General features: G+C 50.2%; 1 long non-coding RNA gene across 1 annotated transcript; it reads right to left on the reverse strand.

Moving 5' to 3' along the window:
- Positions 1-334: 334 nt before the first annotated feature.
- On the reverse strand, positions 335-1,937 carry LOC124908012 (uncharacterized). Its single transcript, XR_007088281.1, has 2 exons — positions 1,760-1,937; positions 335-1,039 (listed from the first exon to the last, which is right to left on the reverse strand). It is a non-coding gene; the product is annotated as an uncharacterized LOC124908012 (long non-coding RNA).
- Positions 1,938-15,008: the final 13,071 nt, after the last annotated feature.

Genomic DNA, 15,008 nt, shown 5'->3' on the forward strand with positions numbered 1-15,008 from the left:
TTTCATTTTCATAAGCCCAAATTATTAGATATTTTTCTTAATGATTTTTGGCTTTGATATTAGATTGAGAAAACCTTTTCCTACTCCAAGGTTATAAAAAATGTTTCTCTTTTTTCTAATGATGCTTTTAATGGCTTTATGGTTTAATATATAAAACCTACTCTCTTTCTCATTTTTTTTTTTTGCACTGTTAATGTGTTTTACTTTTTCTGCAGAATTCTAGAATTATTTTGACAAAGTAAGAAAAATTCCCCTTGGAATTTTCGTTAGTATTTCAGTAGCTCTTATTTAAGAATTATTGTCAGTTTTATAACATTCACTTTTACCATTCATGTATGTTTGCATAAGATGTTTGCATTTATTCAGGTCTTCAGTTCACTTATCTTAACATATTGTGGTTTTGAGATAAGTGAGACGGTTAGATAAAGCAAGAATAGCGAAATGTGGATACATATTGATGCTGGGCGACGGGCTCAAGGGAGTCATTTTCCATCTTCTTTACTCTTGTATACATTTGAAAATCTCCAATACAAAAATGGGGAAAAATCTGTCTACCTACTGACCTAGTCATTTGCTTCATACAGATTCTGAATCTTTCTTATAAAGGCCATTCTTTTAATTTATTCCAACCACGAATAAGCTCGTTCTCAGTACACACTTGAAATTGTTGCCCTGTCTTTATAAACCATAAAGCAGTGAAGCAAAGGTTGACTCTAAACCTCTGTTCATTGATTCGTGTAAATGGAACACAAAAATTCCTGAGTGCTTTTCAATAATTCATGGTTTGATGAACATGGAAATTCATTTCAACATGTCTTGAGGAGACGGCTACACTCAAATGGACCACCCTCTCCTGGGAACTTAGAGGTGCAGCTCTGTCGTCCCAGGACTGAGGCAGCAGGCGGGAAGACACGACGGCCTTCCCTGGCCATCATCTCCCCTTCTCCCAGATGCCACGTGATTTAGCATTTTAGAAATGCCGTTTGCCATGAGAGCATCTGGAGAACGACACACAGGTAACACTGATGAGCTGCCCGCCCTGAAAATAGAGAGAGGTACTTCAGACTTTAGGCCAATCCCAGCCTCCCTGCTCCTTGGTCAATTAAGCATGAGGTAATAAAAATACCACTTAATAAAAATCGCATTAGGTGCTCTGAGGTTGAGAGAATTTCCAGAATTGGAGTTTGTTTGGCTCACAGGGCCCTGACCCTGCTTTCTCAGGGTGGACCTTCTCCTCGCGGCCCACGGCAAGGATCCCTTTCCCCATCATGGTGGCCCCTGGAGATATGCTGACTTTCCTGAATTCCAGTCTGTGGGACGACTCACAGCTGTCTCTTGATTCTCCCACAACACCTGGTTTTGGCGTGGGTGGGACAGGGCTGAGAGGATGATTTGCACTAGGTTAGGGGACACACACACTCATCCACGTGCATGTGTGCACACCCAGGGATCCCCCTCCATGCCGACTCTCTTCAGTCCCCGCCTCCTGGATCCCACCCACGCCAGCTGACTCACGATGCCCGGTAGACTCTCCCGGTGCAGCGGCCTCACACCCTGCCACCCTGGCCAGCCAGCCTGTGCTTCTCTTCCTGATCCTGTTCATGATCACACCCCAGTACCATGAAGGGGGACCCCCCGGATATGCCCAACTCCATGCCTGTGCCCAAGAGGCTTGGCTTCCAATCTCCTGCAATTGCAGGTTTGTAACACAAACACATGCCATGTTCGCGAGCTCCTGGAGTCAGCCCTTTTCACTTACGTTGGCAAGGCCCCTTTGCAGGCTGTATATCTGTTTCTTGCTTCTGTCCATTTTCTTAATCTGATACCTTTAGGAGCAATGAAAAATCAAGTCAGTTCCTTTGTTTCACAGATGAGAAAGTCCAGGGTGCTGCTCCTTGCCCCAAACCACACAGAGGAAACTTCAGAACAAATGAAAATGAGCTTGGAGGTATGATTATCATCTCATATCCCCGCTAAATTCGGGGCAACCTGAATGGGTGCCCTAGTTTCTGAAGCTGCTCACATTGGTCACCTCCGGCGACTCCCACTGCCCTCCTAGGCAGGGGAGGTGGCTCAAGGAGTGCTGGTGATGACGCAGGGGAGCTGTTGGGGCATGGAGGACTCCGGCGAAGAGCTGCACCCCTCTGCACTTCATCCAGGGCTGCGTTCCCACCCCGCTGCCCCTCCGGTCTCCTAAAGCTGTTGGTCCTCACTCGGTGGGAGAATGGGAGGCCGGCTCTGCCTCGGCTGACTGATCTCTGGCCCATGGGGAAGGTGCCCATGCAGCTGGCCCGGCTCCTGTGGCCACTGCCCGCCTTCTCGGACTAGGGCTAGAAACTGCTCCTTGAAGAGGGGAAGCCCAGCAACGCCATGTCGGGAAGGGACAGCCTCTGCACTGCAGCTGCCCACACTTCTGGCCATGAGTAGTTCCAAGCAAGTGGCCACAGAGGTGCTTGGGCAGAGAAAGGAAGAAGCGGCACTGCACAGCAGATGGGCAGGAGGGTGAGGCGGGGTGGGGGGCTGGCGCCGGGTGAGCCTTGAGAAAGGTGGGGAAGGTCCATGGCAGGGGGCTGGGGTCACAGCAGGACAGTGGCCTGGTCAGCCAGGGAGAGGCCTCCAGTGACAGGGTTGGCCAAGGACATGTTTAAAAGCAAGATCTCAGATAGCCACATGGAAGGGCCGGGCCACCAAGCGTGCCGGACCAGGACATTCCCCCAGGACGGGAAGATGGCAGGACATGCGGCTGCCATACCTTCCTTGGCAGGTGACGTTTCAGAGAAGTCAGGGAAGATAGGGACGGGGCCGAGAGAGGAGAGTCTCCCTGGGGTGAGATGCACGGCCTAGCGTGTTAGAGGATTTGGGCCCAGGAGTGGAGGCAATGGTGTGGATATGTGTACTGGTGATTCCATTCTCTTCTCTGTGGATCTGTGGGTGTTTGCTCCATGCTTCTAAACCGCATATTGAGGTGTAAAAGAATATCGGGACAGTAAAGTACATTCGCCCTGTGTGTATAGCTTCACAAAGGTTAACGTGTTTTTACATTTTACAAATTTATGTTTTTACCCCGGGGTGACAAGATTTAGAACATTTACCATGCCTTCAGGGTTCTCTTCTTTTGCACTTTTTTTCTAACAAACATGTAAATTTTTCTTACTGAAGTACTACATTTTTATGTGTTATACTTTTATGTGGCAACTTTTATGTATTTATGCTTCTAGTAGAAATTTAGAATCAGAATTTTAAGTTATAAACCTTTCCCTGGATATTAATTGTTGGTTAGTGATAGTGACTCCTTCCCTGTTATAATTATACAAATGTTTCCTCCTAGTCTGGCATTTTCTTTTAACTGTGTTCATTCTTCAGAAGTTTAAAAGCTCTATGAGATCAACTGTGTCAATATTTTCTTTTATACATTTTGGATTTCATATCCTGATTATGAAGCCCTTTCTCACCCAAGTATTAAAGAAACTGATTTTCCCCTATTTTCTTCTGCTGTTCCTATAATTGAAACTATTTTGACATTTTATTCATCAGGAATTTGTTTTTGAGTATGATATGAACAGGAATTTAGCAGTTGTTATACTGTTGATTTTCCCAATGCTATTTATTTGTGAGTTTCCTCACCGATTGGAAGGTACTTCTGTTACCTATTCAACGGTCATTCTGGGGTACGCTTTCAACTGCCTCCCTGTCCCATCGGTCCGCTTGTGGTATCTAGCTGCAGTATCTCATTGCTTTGAATAATACTGCTCTACAGTTTGATTTGTTAATAATAGAAAGTCTCCTGTGATATTTTTAAATTTTCTTGGCATTTTTATATATTTATGCTTTCACTAGAATATTTATTTATTTAATTTTTATTTCAGTAGCTTTTGGGGTACAAGTGGTTTCTGGTGACATGGATGAATTCTACAGTGGGGAATTCTGAGATCTTAGCGGACCTGTCACCTGAGTGGTATACATTGTACCTAATGTGTACTTTTTATCCCCAGCCCCCTCCCACCCACCTCCTTTCTGAGTCTCCAGAGTCCATTCCATGCCTCTCTATGCCTTTGTGCACTCATAGCTCCCACTTATAATTGAGGACATAGGGTTTTTGATTTTAAAAGACACCACATCTTTATTAGTGGAGTTTCACATCTGGAAACAAGATGTGTGTTTGTTTAGGCAAAGCCTCAGTGTGTCCTCCAGGAGAGCTTAATACTGTTCTTCCCACAGGCCACGTGTGCTTCCCGCAGAGCGTGTGGCCAGGCAGCTCCCAGCTCTCCTTTGGGTCTGACACCGCCTCTGTTTTGCACGCTGTTGGCGGGGAGCCGAGCGCTGCACGTCTGGAGCCTTGCTCTGGTGCTGTGGCCACCCGGTGCCTTCCTGGGAGCCAGCAGAGCTCGGCCCGGGGATGTGCCCTTGCTGGTACGGCCCTGAAAGGTCCCCTTGCCCCTGGGGGACACAGGCCTGCACTGGGCAGTGGGTGGGCTGTGGAGCATGTGTGGATTTCAGCCCACTCGGCCCTGGGGAAGTCTCTGCTGCCTGGACTCACTGGGTCTGCCCCATCACTTGAGGACAAGCACGCATGAGTTGGCTTGGGCTGCTGTGAGGAAGCACACAGGCTGGGCGGCTTGAACAACACATGTCCATCCTCTCCCAGTCCTGGAGGCTGGAAGCCCAAGGCCGCAGTGTTGGCAGGCTGGGTTCCTCCTGAGGCCTCACTCCTTGGCTCACAGATGCTGTCTACTCGCTGTCCTCATGTGGTCATCCCTCTCTGTGTATCTGTGTCCTAATCTCTTCTTAGAAGGACATAGTGGTATTGGGTGAGGGTCCACCCAGTTACCTCATTTAACCTTAACGACCTCTTTACATACCTTGTCTCCAAATACAGCCCCGTTCTGAGGTGCCAGGGTTAGGACGACAACAGATGAATTTTGGGGGGCACACAATTCAGCCCATAACAAATACTGAAGGCTTCTCAGTGGCTCCCTTGAATTGTCTGTGTGTGAATAATATCATCTATAAGTAATGGTAATGCTATTTCCCCCTTTCTAATACTCTATGAAGAAAAATCATTTCTTTTCCTTTTTTTTTTTTTTTGAGACAGAGTCTCAAGCTATCACTCAGGCTGGAGTGCAGTGGCACGATCTCGGCTCACTGCAACCTCTGCCTCCCGGGTTCAAGCGATTCTCCTGCCTCGGCCTCGTGAGTAGCTGGGACTACAAGCGCGTGCCACCATGCCCAGCTAATTTGTGTATTTTTAGTAGAGATGGGGTTTGGCCATGTTGGCCAGTCTGGTCTCCAACTCCTGACCTCAGGTGATCCATCTGCCCCAGCCTACCAACATGCTGGGATTATAGGTGTGAGCCACCATGACCGGCCAGAAAAATAATTTCTAAACAACCTTGTAAATAAGGCAAAAGAGTGGCTACCGTCCTTTCCCTGGCATCTTGGAGCAGGGTCTAACCAGCCCGCCAGAAGAGTGTGTAATTCTTTGTGGGGATGTGTCTATATTTGACACAGCTGTTTACTGAGCAGTGCCAGGACTTTGTGAAGTTACCCGTTAACTTGTAGGTTTCATTAACATGGAGGTTTCGCTCAGCAGGGATGCAAATGACTCCTGACTCTTAGCAAAGTGAACGCCAGACCTGCACTATTATTGCCCGGTGCGACATCAACCAACACTAGTTCTAACCTTGCAATCTTAGTTCCACATTCTCTTCTCATTGCTTGTAAATATAAGCATCTCTTAAAGCGCTCTTTGAGAGCTTTGCCATCTGTTGGTTCTCCCGTTCATGAGTTAAATAAACCTTTGACACGTGCCCACTGTTTATTTGTAGGAGCGTCTTTCCTTAAATCATTCTCTGGCAGATTATACATGCATCCTGTGTTTAAGGCTAACCCAAGGAGCATTGATTTGACTCTGAAATTATAGCTGCATTTGTTTCTGGAATAATTTTCTTTAAGCGTTGTAACAATCCCTTACGATTCACAGATTCCACGTGTCCCCCGGTTGGGCGCTATGCTGTACCTGTGTCCCAGGAAAGCAGACATACTCTTACTGGTGAGCTTCTCTTGTTCATGTTTGGTCTTGGTAACCCCTCTCAGCTAGTGACCTTGCTGCCTTGGCCTGAGCCCGGTGAACGCTGCAACATGGCGGACTCAATGGCGTTTATTCCACTGTGTGAAACGGCTTTCTTCTACTTATTTATTATTATTTTTTTTTACCACAGTAAATCTTTTTGACCTGCGTTGGCTGGTGGCAGGTGTGTGGGAGATGGTGTTGGATCCCGTGCAGGAGACGCAGAGCAGGAGGCTGGAGGAGGAGGGCAGAGCTCTGGGGACTCTACCGCATGGAGAGGAATGACAATGGGTCCAGAGGGTAGGGATGGGCAGGTGCAGAGGGGATGGCGGCAGAAGGCAGAGTAGCCATCACTGGCCAACCGCTTCTTCCACACCTCTCAATCTCCAGGCACGGCCAGACCTCAGGACAGAAGAGGTCAGATCTGCCAGGGCACGTGAACATTGGGGAGGCCGTGGAGTCCCAGGGTGACTGCAGCTCCCCTAAGAGCCTGCTGCCCACGAGGTGGCCTCTCTGCACTCCCCAATTCCAGGGGTTATCTGTGACCCCTCTCCTCTCCTGCCTCCTTTCTTGCTCTCTCCCCTCTCAGCTCTCTCCTACTGTGTCGGCCACGTCTTAAAGTCAGTGGTAGACGCAGTAGAGGTGAAGGTGGTTCATGACTCCAGTACGGCATGAAACATGGCTTTCCTCTTTGGTTTCTGAGAACTGTGCACTGTGGGGTGAGCATTTACACAGAAGCTCTTGCTGTTTTCCTTCTCTATTGTGGGCTCAGAAATGAGAATGAACAGGGTCCCAAAGGGCACCTCTCTGTTGTCCCCTCCCTTTCTCCAGATCCCTCACAGGGCCTGCTCCATGCCCAGAGGACTCTGGGTCTCCACCAGGAGAATTGTAGACCCTCTGGGGAGGATCGGGATGGTCTGAAGAGGCTGCTGGGAAGCAACCTGCCAGCTTCAGGGCTCAGGCGTCTTGTCCAAGATCTCAGAGGGTGTCACCAGCAGAGGGAACAAAGCCAGGAGGTGGCACTTTTCCTGGTCACCCTCATCCCAGGCTGCCTCACACAGGTGCCAGGGTCAGGCTGAGGGCCTAGGGGAGGTCCATCTCCCTCTGACTCCCTTCTCCTTCCCCCCTTCCATGTGCCCCTGAAATTGCATGAGGCCTGAATGGATAATTAGGAATAATCCCTCAATTTTAAGGCCAGCTCCTGAGCAACCTGCATTCCCCTTTGCTATGCATCCCAACCTACTTCCAGGTTCAGGGATTGGGACGTGGACGTCTCTGGGGAGAGGCATTATTCTTCCCGCCACATAAGCACAGAAACCAGCAAAGGCAACATCATTAACTGTGATGGGTGCTGTGGAAACGATAAGCTTGGTGTCCTGAAAAAGCCACAGACAGGACATCGGGAGGGGCCGTTTGACACTGACGTGAAGACCCAGTGACTAGCTTCTTTCCGGGGTGGGTGCTCCAGCACAGAGATATTTGGAAGATGGTGATCCAGAGCCCCGGTTAGGAGTGTGGCTGTTATTTTAAGCACAGGTGTGAACCCCGCATGGTTCAAGTAGGAGAGTCACTGGGTCTGGTGTTCATTTCTCTCTGGCTGTGGGTAGAGAACAGACTGCTGGGGACAAAGGCTCAGTACGTGGTGCTGCGAAAGCTCATAACAAGCGGTAAACTTGACCTGGTCAAAGGCCAGGAGCAGCCTCCTGGAAAGAAGGTGCATAAATAGGAGTTAATGAACTGGAGAAGAGAGGATAAGAGTTCTTGGCAGCAGGACTGGAAGAAGAAAAGGGAGCAAGGCCTGTGGAATGCATGTAGGAGGTGCAGAGAAGGGATGAAGAAGGTGTGAAGGAGGATGAAGAAGGCATGAAAAAGGCATGTAGAAGGCATGAAGAAGGTGTGAGGAAGACATGTAGGTCTGAAGGAGGCGTGAAGAAGACATGAAAAAGGCATGTATTAATAGAAGGTGTAAAGAAGGTGTGAAGGAGGGATGCAGAAGGTGTGAAGGAGGCATGTAGAAGGCATGTGGAAAGCATAAAGAAGGTGTGAAGGAGGCATGAAGAAGGCATGTAGAAGTCTGAAGGAGGCATGAAGAAGGTATAAAAAAGCATATATTAATAGAAAGCTGAAGAAGGTGTGAATGAGGCATGAAGGAGGAATGTAGAAGGCATGCAGAAGGTGTGATGAAGGCATGAGGAAGGCATGTAGAAGGGGTGATGGAGGCATGAAGAAGGCATGTAGAAAGCATGAAGAAGGGGTAGTGGAGGCATGAAGAAGGCATGTAGAAGGTGTGAATGAGCCATGTAGAAGGCATGTAGAAGGTGTAATGAAGGCATGAATAAGGCATGTAGAAGGTGTAATGAAGGCATGAAGATGGCATATAGAAGGTGTAGTGGAGGCATGAAGAAGGCATGTAGACAGCATAATGAAGGTGTGACAGAGGCATGAAGAAGGCATGTAAAAAGCATAAAGAAGGTGCGAAGGAGGCATGAAGGCATGTAGAAAGCATAAAGGAGGTGTGAAGGAGGCATGAAGAAGGCATATAGAAGCCTGAAGGAGGTGTGAAGAAGGCATAAAAAAGCATGTATTAATAGAAGGCGGAAGAAGGTGTGAAGGAGGCATGAAGAAGGCATGAAGAAGGCATGTAGAAGGTGTGGAGGCATAAAGAAGGCATGTAGAAGGTGTGGTGGAGACATGAAGGCAGGTTGAAGGTGTGATGGAGGCATGAAGAAGGCATGCAGAAGGCATGTAGGAGTGATGGAGGCATGAAGAAGGCATGTAGAAGGCATAAAGAATGTGTGAAGGAGGCATGAAGAAGCCATTTAGAAGGCATGTGGAAGGTGTGAAGAAGGCTGGGAAGGAAGGGAACACAGCTGGAATGGAGAGTGGGGGAGCATGGTGCCAAAGGAGGCTGGAGACCCCACAGGGCTGGCAGGACAGGTGCAGTGCAAGCTTGTCCCGGTTTCCAGGGGACGAAGCCGACAGGATGGGGCTGGCTTCTTGAGCAGGTCATGTGGCTGTGGCATGGGAAACTGACGGCAGCAATGTTAGGAGAAAGAGCGCGGCCAAGGTGAGGGAAGATGGGAGCTTGTGTTGAGGAGCAGGCAGTGGAGATGAAGAGAGACAGGCAAATGGGAGAAGAATAAATCAGGAGCTGAAGTGAGAGGATTCGGTGTTGGATTAGCTGTGGGAGGGTGTGTGAGGAGGGTGTGTGTTGAGGCTGACTCGTGCCCCACCTGGCTCAGAGCACTGGACACCTGGACTGTGGTCCTAAAGGACCACATCGAAGGTGGGAGGTGATGGTGAAGGTACAGCGGGGGTGGCAGGCAATTCAGTTGGGGACATCAAGTTTGAGGTGCTTTTGTAACATTGAGCGGGGTTTGGGTAGTCGGGTCTGGAGCTCACAGGAGACTGGACTAAACGTAGAACCTGGAGTACCACGCATGTGGTGCTGATGGAAGCCACAGGGCTGAGTGAGCTTCCCTGGGGAGGGAAGGCAGAGTGGGAAATGGAGATGGCCCAGGCTGGCCCTGGAGGAGCAGCTCCACTGGTGCCAGGGGCAAGAGAGCCAGCTTTGCCAGGGAGCCGAGGAGAGGCCTGGGGTGGCAGGGGGCTTGGTCTGAGTGTGGCTGTGGACGATGTGGGTGGACAGTGCTTCCAGAAGGAAGGTATAGGCACCAGGTTTGGAGATAAGGACTGGAAACATCTCTGACTCAGGAGCTGGGCGGCTTGAGAGTGTCAGGGGCCTCTCCATGGAGTTGTGAGGCAGACATTAGATTGGTATGAGAAGGAAGAGACTGGAGAGTGATCAGGAGCTTCTCTTTCCAGAGGTTTGGCCGTGAGGGAAAGTAGAGGGCCCAGATGTGCCTGGTGGGGAATGCGGGGTGAAAAGAGGGTTTCATGTAAAAGCCAGGAGGAGAAGCACGTTGCAGGAAGTTGTAGAATCTGCAAAGTGAGAGGAGTGATTCGGCATAGAGACGTGAAGCTTGTGGCTTACTGAGGCTGCCCGTTCCACTCCCAGACAGTTCATGCCTTAGGCTTCCTTTACAGCAAGTAAGACAACTGCCACCCCCGCCCCTTCTCACCACCAGTCCTGGTTTTCCACCATGAGAACAAAAGCAGGCCCCACGGGACAAGAGAAATCCCTTTTTCCCAGGATACAGACCCAAGATCCCCAACCATTCTTTATAGGATGCCCTGTTATCTTTTTTTTTTTTAAAGCATTTTCCATTTTCAGCCCATTTTTTTTTAAACTGATGGAGCTTTAAGTCATCAATTTTCCTTGAATAACCACAGGGACATTGGAGGAACATTCCAGCAACAGGCATGATTCTCCTTGTGGGGTCGACGAGCACATATTTGGTTTGTTGGTTCCAATTTTCCTGGTTCTGAATAAATTGCTGACTTTTGGCATACCTAATAACTGATAGTCAGCACCTATTCCAAATTTTCACAGCAACTAATTACGTTTCTAAAGCACTTCCCTGATAAACTCCAGAAAGTGCTTGTGCCTGGGCAAAGCGGAAACCCTGAAAGGCTGGATGCACCGGCCAGACCCGTTTGGCCCAACAAGAGGACCCAAGGGGGTTACCTGGGCCGGAGCGCAACGCCGTGGATCTGCACCCCTTGTTCTCTCACCAGCAAATCGTGGGGTGTCAGTGAGGTTGGAGGTCATCCAAGCTGACGCCCATTTATAGACAAGAAGTGTGGCTCCAGGTTAACTCCCCACCCCGGCCCCCGAGTTGGAAATGGAGCCTGGTCCTTCCAGGGTCCTGAGAACGGCATTCCTGTGGGTCTCATCTGTGTGCAGTTCTCTGCCCTGCAGGTCTCACCTGTGGTTCTCTAGCTTCTGAACCTGGAGTTAAACCGCAGGAGGGCAGGTCTCAGCCACAGGGTTCCTGCTTGGCTGTCAGTGCCTTGTCCTGTACAAGCATGCTCCAAGAGCTCGCTGAATATCGCTGGACGCATGGAGAAACAAAGTTGGGGTGGGATGATTCCTGTGCATGCTTGTTTTCCCTGCAGCAGATGGAATATATTTCCAGAACCATCTGCTTAGAACAATCAACGTTTCCAATGACCCATAGCCAATGTGCCTAGAATTCCTTGGCTATTCCCTGATCTGATAATTGGGACAAAACCAAGTGAACACCCCGTAAGACAGTCCTACCTGCCCTTGCTGCTTTCCACCACCGTATCAAGGTCACAGATTCATTTAAACAATCCCAAAGGGCACACGACCTCAATTTTTATAATTTCCTTACTGAAATTCAAGAGAAACTTCCTAGCTGTTCCCCATTATCCTTTTGTTGCTTGGAAAAGTTAAAGTTTAAATGGCAATTCTCTTTAGAATTTAATATCTGTTCCCAAACATTCTCGGTTTAATTGCTAACTGATTCTTTAGAAAATTGAATTGCTATATTACATTGTTTTTATGCACCAATGGCCTGGGAAATGTTGGCAGCAGTCCTGCCAAAGATAACGACGTCTATGTATCAAGCTGTGAGTGCTTTATTAGAAAAGTTCCTAGCAAAGATTTTTCTTGTTTTTAATTTTTGCTGCTTTTAATTTTTATACCCAAGACTTGATTTGGATCAATAGATGTTAAAACCAGGATTTTAGTATCTAAGATTCTCTCCACCTTCCTTTAGAGCTGTTGCCACTTATCTTTTCAAACGTGTAAGGAGCATGGCCAAAAGACTGGGGTGACTTTGTGGTCGAAAGAGCATTGAAGTGGCTGAGACCCAGCCCCCAGCCCCACGCGCCCCACTGGGAGTCTCAGCCTTGGAGAGGTCGCCTCCCACCCTGAGACGTCAGGTCCTATCTGTAGCGTAAGGGGGTCACACGTGAGGACTGCCCGCATTTTCAGTCCAGGATTCCACCTGGATGAACCATTCATTACTTCCAGGAGAAAACACCTGTGGATGCTGTTCCAAAGGGCTAAGAGGAAGCAGTGCACAATAGACCGGGGCTGGCCACTTAGATACTCAGTGAATGTGGGGAACTGGCTTATTCTTCTGCCTCAAGGCAAATATAATGTCACTTTCCAAATTAAAACACCTCTCCTGGCTGCCTGACGTCAGCAGGTGCAATGCTCCGTAGGAGGGTGCGCTGAGCAAATGGCACCGAGTCCCCACCTTTCCTTGCAATGCCACTGGGGTGCCTGCCTCAAGAGGCTGAGTTGCCCGCCTCCCCCTGCCCCACACCTCCTGGAAATGGGCTGAACCTGTCCCTTACTCGACCCACAGAATGCAGGGAAGTGAGGCGTGCCAGTTCTGAGTGTAGGCGCCCAGGGCCTTGCAGCCCCATCGTGAGGACGAGCCGGGGTGAGCCTTCTGGAGATGAGAGGTCACCTGGAGAGGGTGAAACCACCCTAGACAGCTACCGACCAGAGGACCTGGCCAGGCTCAGTGAGAGCCCAGCAGAGATGAGGGAACTCTGCTGCAGATCAGCAGAACTGTTCGTCTCCTGGCGGATGTGCGAGAAATGACTCACGGTTGTTGTCTTAACCCACCGGGCTCTGGGGGCGTGTGCCACCCAGCACTAGCTCACCGACACACTGGGTGTCACAGACTCTGCTACTAGCTCCAGCTTCTGGTTTCTTCTCCTGCCAAACGTTTCCTACCTCCCACTCCCCCGAATCAAATCCTACCCTCTGGGCAAGCTCCGCTCCTAAGAGCCCCCGTTCTCTGTGCTGTGCCTCTCCCTTCTCGAGATGTCCCCTCTCTGACGTCCCCTCCCAGGTCTGCTTTCAAATCCATTCTCATTCTCCAGGAGGCTCCTCGGTGTCACCTCCTCATGGAAGGCCTCCCTTTCTGTCCAGCAGAACTGGCCAGCCCCTCACACAGCTGTTGTCTCCTGCTCACAGAGAGAAGACCGTTCAACTCTCCACTGGTCCTGATTTCTGTGTTTCCAGGCCGTCCTCTCTAGGCTGCAGTCTGGAGGGTAGGAACCACGTTGTACTCACTGTTGGATCCCTGTGACGTTGTGGGGCGTTCAGCAGGTGCTCAGAGCCTGGGGACTGTGGGACTCCTGGGTAGTGCTGGAGGCCCAGGGTTCCTCCGCAGTGATTCTTACAGGCCCCGCCGGGGTCCTGAGGTCTCCCCTTTCGAGGTGGCTGAGTGGCTGATGCAGGGGAGGAAGGCTGACCCAGGAAAGGACATCGGGGCTCTCGATGGCTTTTCTGAGGTTTTGTAGCTGCATCACTCACTTCTCTGGGCCTCAGCAGCTGTTGGGGTCACCCTGCACCCACCCTACGGTTCTCCATCCACCTTTTCACTCCTGTCATTGCTGCAGCAACCACCTGTGCACAGGTGAACCGACAGCCCCTCCTCTCATCAGCAACTCACAGCTCCCTTCTGGGGGTGCTTCCCTGCTGTGGATGTCCCCGCAGCCATGCAGCCATCTTCACACACCCAGCCCAAACAGGCTGGTGCCACCCTTACCCAGTGGGGTCCTGGAGCCAGAGGATAAATGAGCTTTTTGCCCCGTTGCAGCCTGCAGCACTGACCCTTGGACTTGTTTTCCCTCCTCCCTTGTTTTAATTTTCTCATTGCCCTGGGGTTGCTTCCCCAAATAGACAACTTACTCCCAAGCTTTATCTCCAGGACCCGGGGTTACCAAACACTGTGTCCAAGATGGCTGCTTAGGTCTCAGAGCCAGAGGAGGCCCAGGCACAGAGCAGGCAGTGCACGTGCTCTGGGGCCAGGTGCAAGGGATTCAGGTCCTGGCTTGGTCACCTCTGGGCAGGCCTGATTTCCCCAGCCTCGGTTTCCTCCTCTCTAAGGTGGGGACAACTCCTGGCTGATGTGAGACCTTGACTGCAAGTGTCCAGCTCTCTGTGCCACTGCAGCACTGCCTCTGGGTTCTGGGGATCCCGGGATGGGGGCTGTCCTGCTCCTTGTCACTGTCCTGCCCCCAGCACAGGGTCTGCACAGAATCAGCCTTCACACATCAGCAAGGGCTGAGTGAGTCCAGGGATGCGGCTGCTCCTGCTGGCCTCTGAGCACAGCCTTGGCTGGGAGTGGGGCCTGAGTGTGGCCACACAGCGACCACTGTGTCCTGGCCTAATGTTCTGAGGTCTCCATGTCTAGGCAGCAGTGTTTCAGCCATCAGGATCCAACTACCAATGACCTTTCTGGGTTTCCATTCTCCTGGCAACTCGAGCCATCATCCCTGTACTGGAATCTGCCACCTGCCGTGAACAGGGTGGAGGTGGGAGAGGTGCACATAGATGCTCTCCCTCCCTCCCCTGCCCCCCAAACTCTAACCTGGAAAATGGAAAAGAGAGAAATTACCCTTTTTTTTTAACCTAACTTGCTCCGTGACTGACTTAATTAAAAGGAGGATGAGGGCTGCCTGTCACAGGGAGGCTCCTGGGATGAGTGGGGGGCTCAACCCGGCATGGGTGAGCCTCTGATGGGAAGAGGGAGAAGAGGCCAGGGTCACCTGGCGTCCCTCAGAGCAGCCACCTGGAGGGAAGGTCACCCGGGCTCTTAGTCACATCTGTGGCCACCTCTGAAAACACCTAACTTCTTTTTACAAACTGGGAATGTCCACTGAGCTGGAGTTGTCTGTTGGAACTGTAACGTCCACTCCCAAGTGCTTCTCAAACTATTATATTTTGTTTAAAGAAGATTCTCTTCATCCAATATGCTTGTGAAAATAATGAGGTAAAGTATACATAACATAACGTTTTACCATCTTTGCCATTTTCTTTTATATTTTTTATTTTTATTTATTTATTTTTTTGAGACGGAGTCTCGCTCTGTCACCCAGGCTGGAGTGCAGTGGTATGATCTTGGCTCACTGCAAGCTCCGCCTCCCGGGCTCACGCCATTCTCCTGCCTCAGCCTCCCGAGTAGCTGGGACTACAGGCGCCCACCACCACGCCCGGCTAATTTTTTGTATTTTTAGTAGAGACGGGGTTTCATCATGCTAGCCAGTA

The sequence above is a fragment of the Homo sapiens genome, chromosome 2 (assembly GCF_000001405.40).
Source record: "Homo sapiens chromosome 2, GRCh38.p14 Primary Assembly".
Lineage (NCBI taxonomy): Eukaryota > Metazoa > Chordata > Mammalia > Primates > Hominidae > Homo > Homo sapiens.